This window comes from Homo sapiens, chromosome 1, assembly GCF_000001405.40.
Source record: "Homo sapiens chromosome 1, GRCh38.p14 Primary Assembly".
NCBI lineage: Eukaryota > Metazoa > Chordata > Mammalia > Primates > Hominidae > Homo > Homo sapiens.
In genome coordinates, this window is record NC_000001.11 from 235,092,569 (window position 1) to 235,099,868 (window position 7,300).

Genomic DNA, 7,300 nt, shown 5'->3' on the forward strand with positions numbered 1-7,300 from the left:
GTTAATGACCTCAACCCTCTGAGCCAATTGCCACATCCGTGTGAAACAAGAACACCACCTAGAAAGGTTTAGAAGGGTTAGAGGTGACTGCCCGGGCGCGGTGGCTCACGCCTGTAATCCTAGCACTTTGGGAGGCCGCGGCGGGCAGATCACCTGAGGTCGGGAGTTCAAGACCAGTCTGACCAACATGGAGAAACCCCATCTCTACTAAAAATACAAAATTAGCCGGGCATGGTGGCACATGCCTGTAATCCCAGCTACTCAGGAGGCTGAGGCAGGAGAATCACTTGAACCCGCGAGGCGGAGGTTGCAGTGAGCCGAGATTGTGCCACAGCACTCCAGCCTGGGCAACAAGAGTGAAACTCTGTCTCAAAAAAAAAAAAAAAAAAAAAAAAAAAAAGGTTAGAGGGTTAGAGGTGACTTAAGTAACAGCACTCAGCATCTAGCACACAGTAGGCCCGGAGTGATCATTACTACTGGCTTACAGTGGCTTCGCCAGCACAGTCAGCCTCATGGGAAGGAGCACCCAAGTCTCAGGGCCACTCCCTGAGCACGTGTGAACTCAGCGGGATCCTTGCTGACTGGAGTCCCATGGGGAAGCATGACGGGGAGCCGGGAAGCGCTGGTCGTCCGAACGGGGCGGGAGCCTGGACAACAGGGGTACGAGGACCCAAAGCCTTCCCCTTGTTTCCTCCTCATCAATTCTCAGCAGAGTGAGGGGTGAGGAGTTAGGCCCTAGGGAGCAGGAAACAAGCAGGGATCCGGCCACACACCCACCTTCACCTTGATCCCCGGCGGGACGTCCCCACCCCTTCCCAGCAAGGCAGCCCTCAGGAGCTGCAGCCCAAGTGTCTCGCCTGGAGCTTCCAAGTGCAGAGCCTGATTTTTGAAGAACCACTGCCACACTCTGGCAAATGCAAGGAAGTCATTCTCGGTGCTGTGGCCTGGGGACCATCACGAACTGTCCTAGAGCGCAATCCGAATGCAAGCAGGGGAGAGGAGGCCCCAGCAGGCTGGATGCTGCTACGGGGAGTGACGGTCACCCCTGTGTGTCCAGAGCCCACTCCACGCCTGGAACGCAGTAAACACTGCATCGACAGTGGCCCTCCCCGCAGTCCCCCTTGCTCACCCCCTTAGCTCCTGAGCTCTTTATCATGCTTTCCGCGTGGCCCTGCTCTCACCTGACTGTAATCTGCATTTATTCCCTGTCTCCAGCTGATCTGTGAGTTCCACAAAGGGGAGAAGCCACCTGCTGGGCGGTCTTGCATCTGTGGCAATGCCTTGTGCATAAACAAACCTTCGCTAAATGTTTGTTGAGCGAACAGAAGAGCGAATGATGCACACGAATATGGAGGTCTACTAATATGTGCTTAAGGAATTAAACCGGTGATGATAGAGATGAAAGAGGCGGGTAGGTCATCGCAGTGCCTGCGGTAGGCACTAGATGGCGCCCAAGCACACCAAGAAGGCGCTGAGAGGCGGGCCGAGCAGCATGAGTTTTTGGTATAGGGGTTTCCTGGAAGATTGAAGCAGTTTATCTATGAGGGCCCCTTGACTGAAAGTCTAAGATCTGGTACAAATAAGCCAGGATCAGCGGGACATGCTGTATTACAGTTCTCCAGGGAAACAAAACCAACAGGATGTGTGTAGAGAGAGGAAGAGTTTCACGTTGAGGAATGGGCTCGTGATTGTGGAGGCTGGCAGGTCCTAAACCCAAGGCGTGGGCCAGCACAGTCCAGACCCAGGAGAGCGGAAGGTGCAGAGAAGTCCCAGGGCGTTCTGCCGGATAACTTCCCTCGCTTGGGAAGGCCAGTCTTTTTGTTCTACTTAGATCTTCAACTGATTGGATGAGACCCACCGACATTAGAGAGGGCCTCTGCTTTACTCAGAGTTTACCAATATGTTTTGGGATTTTTTTAAATATAAAATGAGATCCTGCTATGTTGCTCAGGCTAGAGTGCAGTGGCACAATCATAGTTCAATGCAGCCTCAAACTCTTGGCCCCAAGCAATCCTCCCACTTCAGCCTCCCAAGTAGCTAGGATTACAGGTGTGCACCACCATGCCTGGCTGTAATGTTGATCTCATACAAAAACACCCTCCCAGTTGACACATAAAGTTAACTATCACACACACAGCTTGAGCTGTTGTTCCAGAGAAGCCGTGATCTTTTTTATTGTTTGTTTGTTTTTTGGAGATGGAGTCTCACTCTGTCGTCCAGGCGGCGCTCAGCTCACTGCATCCTCTGCCTCCTGGATTCAAGCAATTCTCCTGCCTCAGCCTCCCGAGTAGCTGGGACTACAGGCACACGCCACCGTGCCCAGCTAATTTTTTATATTTTAGTAGAGACGGGGTTTCACCCTGTTGTCTAGGCTGGTCTCGAACTCCTGAGCTCAGGCAACCTGCCCGCCTCGGCCTCCCAAAGTGCTGGGATTACAGGCGTGAGCCACCGTGCCCGGCAGCCGTGATCCTGCATGGAGACCAACATCCTCCATCTCTCCCTCTTGCCTTCTCCCAAGAGCCCCATAATAAGTGCGAAGTGCTGGAGCAGAGACCTGTTTCCTCCCAGAGAAATCCAAAGGTTCATGGATCAGAATGTTTTGGTTTTTTGTTTTTGTTTTTGTTTGAGACGGAGTCTCACTCTGTCGCCCAGGCTGGAGTGCAGTGGCGCGATCTCGGCTCACTGCAAGCTCCTCCTCCCAGGTTCAAGCCATTCTCCTGCCTCAGCCTCCCCAGTAGCTGGGACTACAGGGGCCCGCCACCACGCCCGGCTAATGTTTTCTTTGTTGTTGTTGTTTTTGTTTGTTTTTTTTTTTGTATTTTTAGTACAGATGGGGTTTCACCGTGTTAGCCAGGGTGGTCTTGATCTCCTGACCTCGTGATCCGCCCGCCTCGGCCTCCCAAAGTGCTGGGATTACAGGCGTGAGCCACCGCGCCCAGCCAGATCAGAATGTTTTTTCCACGTGTGGCCAGGCACGGTGGCTCACGCCTGTAATCTCAGCACTTTGGGAGGCGGAGGCGGGCAGATGACCTGAGGTCAGGAGTTCGAGACCACCCTGACCAACGTGGTGAAACTCGTCTCTACTAAAAATACAAAAATTAGCTGGGTGTGGTAGTGGGCACCTGTAATCCTAGCTACTCGGGAGGCTGAGGCAGGAGAATCGCTTGAACCAGGGAGGCGGAAGCTGCAGTGAGCCGAGATCGCACCTCTGCACTCCTCCAGCCTGGGAGACAGAGTGAGACTCCATCTCAAAAAACAAACAAAAAAGAATGTTTTCCCACACACGACCCCACAAGGCAATGCAGAGAATACTACCCAGGACATGGTTCTAGGTTCAACTTCTGAGGACACTCTCCCAACCTGTTTTATAGATGCTCTTTGTAGAATTTTTGTCAGTGTTTAAAAATTAGCTTAGCCCTAAAGGTCTATGAATTGATGGTAAGTAATTTAATTGGAGATGAGTATGTGAGGAGACAAAGGAAGAAACGTTACCCTCTCCACTGAGCACAGCTAATACCGCAGATAGGAAAGAGCTTTCAGCATATTCACTGATTGGAGTCGTGTTTACATTCCTGTTGTCAACTGGAAATATTTGCTTGTTTAAAGGAAGCTTCCTGAGTGTCATCTAATTGTTAAATCTCTGTTCTGAGGGAAAGTTCTAGGTGTAGACCCACACCGCACAGTTCGTAAGTGACCATGTGCTAAGGCAAGGCACAAACTCGCCTTAGCTGCTAAATTATTTTCTTTCACCATAAAACTGCAAACAGTACTGCAAACAAATCTGCAAACAGTACTGCAAACAAATCTGCAAACAGTACTACTATCAGCAAAATCATCCATTATTTTTCCATGTTAGTATTTTTTAAGCCACTATTCTCAGAAACAAAACAAAACCTTTATTTGTGTTTAGACATCATCAGTTAGCATCATAAAAACCTTTGATTAAAGCAAAATTAGGCCATTGGTAATAGACTCACAAAAACCATTGGGGAAAAAACTGCTTCATCCTTTGAGCTACTCTCTACTTTGCAATCCAGTTTTTTAAATAAGGTTTCTAAATACACAACATGAGTAGTGACCTGCTGGTGTTTCTAGCTTGGAAGAAAGCCATGGAAGCCTGTCCCTTGGTCCACTTAGGAGAGAAGAGAGAGACAAGGCAGCCGAAAGAAAGTTCTCCAAAGTGGAGGTGCCCTTCTACAATGCTAGACAGCCCGAGCATACTCTTCACTCTTTTTGTTTGTTTTTGTTTTCGTTTTTGTTTGAGACACAGTCTCGCTCTTGACACCCAGGCTGGAGTGCAGTGATGCGATCTGGGCTCACTGCAACCTCCACTTCCCAAGTTCAAGCTATTCTCCTGCCTCAGCCTCTTGAGCAGCTGGGACTACAGGCGCCCGCCACCATGCCCAGCTAATTTATGTATTTTTAGTAGAGATGGGGGTTTCACCATGTTGGCCAGGCTGGTCTCGAACTCCTGACTTCAGGTGATCCACCCGCCTCAGCCTCTCGAAGTGCTGGGATTACAGTACAGGCATGAGCCACCGCGCCTGGTTTGTTTTTTTTCTTTCAGATTTTATGGCTTTATTTAAACACAAATAATATGTACACATGGCTGCCCATTCATTTTCTTGGCGGGGCAGCCCAGCATTGGGATTGCTGACTCTGACGGCAGCTGGGCTGCTCTTCCCGAAACAGCGTTGCGGTTCTTGGTTCTTGGAGGAGGCACGGCGAGCGGTCCCTGCACAGTCAGATTCACTGCCCATCAGCAGCACTTCCAGTTTCTTGATGTAGTGGACCAGGAACTGGTCTAACTGGTGCCAGATGAAGTTTTTGATCCTCTTTTGGATGCTCTTGGGCTCCATGAGGGGTCTGAGGGAGCCATCATTCAGAGTAGGAGATAAATGTCACCTCCGTAGACAGAACCAAGGAAAGGGTTTTTTTTGTTTTCTGGGGGTTTGTTGTTGTTTTTTGAGGCGGGATCCCATTTTGTTGCCCAGGTTATGCAATCATAGCTCACTGTAACCTCAAACTGGCGGGCTCAAGCCATCCTCCTGCTCGTCTCTCCAGTAGCTGGGACTACAGGCACATGCCATCATGCCCGGCTAATCATTTTTAAAAAATTTTTTGGCCGGGCGCGGTGGCTCACGCCTGTAGAATCCCAACACTTTGGGAGGCCGAGGCGGGTGGATCACCTGAGGTCAGGAGTTCAAGGCCAGCCTGGCCAACATGGCGAAACCGCGTCTCTACTAAAAATACAAAAAGTTAGCCAGGCGTGGTGGCAGGCACCTGTAATCCCAGCTACTTGGGCAGGAGGCTGAGGCAGGAGAACTGCTGGAACCCAGGAAGCGGAGGTTGCAATGAGCCGAGATCGTGCCATTCCACTCCAGCCCGAGCAACAAGAGCAAGACTTCGTCTCAAAAAAAAAAAATTTTTTTTTGTAGAGCTGGGGGTCTCACTGTGTTGTCCAGGCTGGTCTTGAACTCCTGGTCCCAAGGGACCCTCCCACCTTAACTTCCCAAAGTACTGGGATCACAAGCGTGAGTCATCACACCTGGTCTATTTTTGTTGTTGTTGTTCAATAGACTTTTTATTTCTACCTCTGCCAATAGTTTTTGGGAGTTTTATTTGCTGTTTGTTTGTTTTTTAGAGGCAGAGTCTCAATATGTCCTGGGTAAATTCTTATGAGATCAGACCCTATTCCCCAATGAAAGACTGAAATAATTAAGGCTGCGCAATGGTCCTCACTTGGGAGAGGGACAGCCCACTTCAGCGAGACACAGCGCCCCGCAGACTGTGCACCTATGGGATCAGAGCTCTCTGGTGACACTCAACAGAGATGGACCCAAACTCTAGGGAGGGAGGAAGGAGGAGGAAAGGAAGGAAGGGAGGGAGGTAAAGAGGAAGGGAAGGAAAAAGAGAGGGAGAGGGGGAGGAAACGGGGAGAAAAGAGAAGGAATGACCTCTGAGACAGAGGAGTTGGCTTGGGTGGGTTGCAGGCACAGTGATTTTCCTCCCACCACTGGCTCCACGTGGAGTGGGGGCTGAATGGATGACTCTCCAAAATTAAATTGGGGTGCTATTCCCAAAGTCAGGGAGAAGGACTTCGGACAGGCAAGAAACATGTGCCCAGGGAAGCGCCCACCTGCAGGAGTGGGCAGGAAAGCTTGGTGGCGTGAACAATATTAGTGTCATTCTCCTTTCATTTTCCATCAGTTTGTGTTTTTGTTTTGTTTTTGTTTTCTTTTAAGACAGAGTCTTGCTCTGTCACCCAGGCTGGAGTGCAGTGGCGCAGTCCTAGCTCACTGCAGCCTGGAACTCCTGAGCCCGATTGATCCTCTGGTCTCAGCCTCCCAAATAGCTGGGACTACAGGTTCATGCCACCAAACCTGGCTAATTATTTTAATTGTTTAGAGAGATGAGGTCTCTCTATGTTGCCCAGGCTGATCTCAAACCCCTGGCCTCAAGCGATCCTCTCACCTTGGCCTCCTAAAATGCCGAGGTTACTGGCCAATATATACCCAGTTCTTAACATGATTTTAAACTTTGGTCTTGGGTCCAACTAAATCAGATGAGTGGCCAGGCCCGGTGGCTCCCACCTGTGCTCCCAACACTGTGGGAGGCCGAGGCAGGTGGATCACCTGAAGTCAGGAACCCGAGACCAGCCTGGCCAACATGTCGAAACCCCGTCTCTACTAAAAGTACAAAAATTAGGCAGGTGTGGTGGCGCATGCCTATAATCCCAGCTGCTCGGAAGGCTGAAGTGGAAGGATGGCTTGAACCCAGGAGGTGGAGGTTGCAGTGAGCCAAGATCACAACACTGTACTACAGCCTGGGAAACAGAGAGAGACTCCATCTTAAAAAAAAAAAAAAAAAAAAAATCAGATGACCTCCTGTTTATTTAGAATGTAGATTTCTGGACTCACTCCCACAAGACTGTCTCAGTAATGCTGAGACCGAGCCCTAGAATCTGCATTTTTTTGGAGTCTTGCTCTGTCGCCCAGGCTGGAGTGCAGTGGTGTGATCTTGGCTCACTGCAGCCTCCCACTTCTGGGTTCAAGCAATTCTCCTGCCTCCGCCTCCCAAGTAGCTGGGATTACACAGGCATATACTATCATGCCCAGCTAATTTTTGTATTTTTAGTAGAGACAGAGTTTCACCATCTTGGCCAGGCTGGTCTCAAACTCCTGACTTCAGGTGATCTGCCCACCTCAGCCTCCCAAAATGCTGGGGTTACAGGCGTGAGCCACAGCGCCCAGCCCAGAATCTGCATTTTAACCAGCCTCCCCCAGGTTGCTGCCCACTG

The 7,300-nt window shown here is 50.2% G+C and overlaps 2 annotated features.

Annotated features, from left to right (window-relative positions):
• Positions 764 to 1,347: an enhancer, noted in NCBI's record as "H3K4me1 hESC enhancer chr1:235256647-235257230 (GRCh37/hg19 assembly coordinates)". NCBI's record gives its function as "activates a minimal SCP1, AML or CMV promoter by ChIP-STARR-seq in naive H9 embryonic stem cells {active_cell/tissue: H9 hESC(naive)}" and the evidence as "EXISTENCE:reporter gene assay evidence [ECO:0000049][PMID:30033119]".
• Positions 1,313 to 1,472: an enhancer, noted in NCBI's record as "active region_2791". NCBI's record gives its function as "activates an Ori minimal core promoter by ATAC-STARR-seq in GM12878 lymphoblastoid cells {active_cell/tissue: GM12878}" and the evidence as "EXISTENCE:reporter gene assay evidence [ECO:0000049][PMID:35858748]".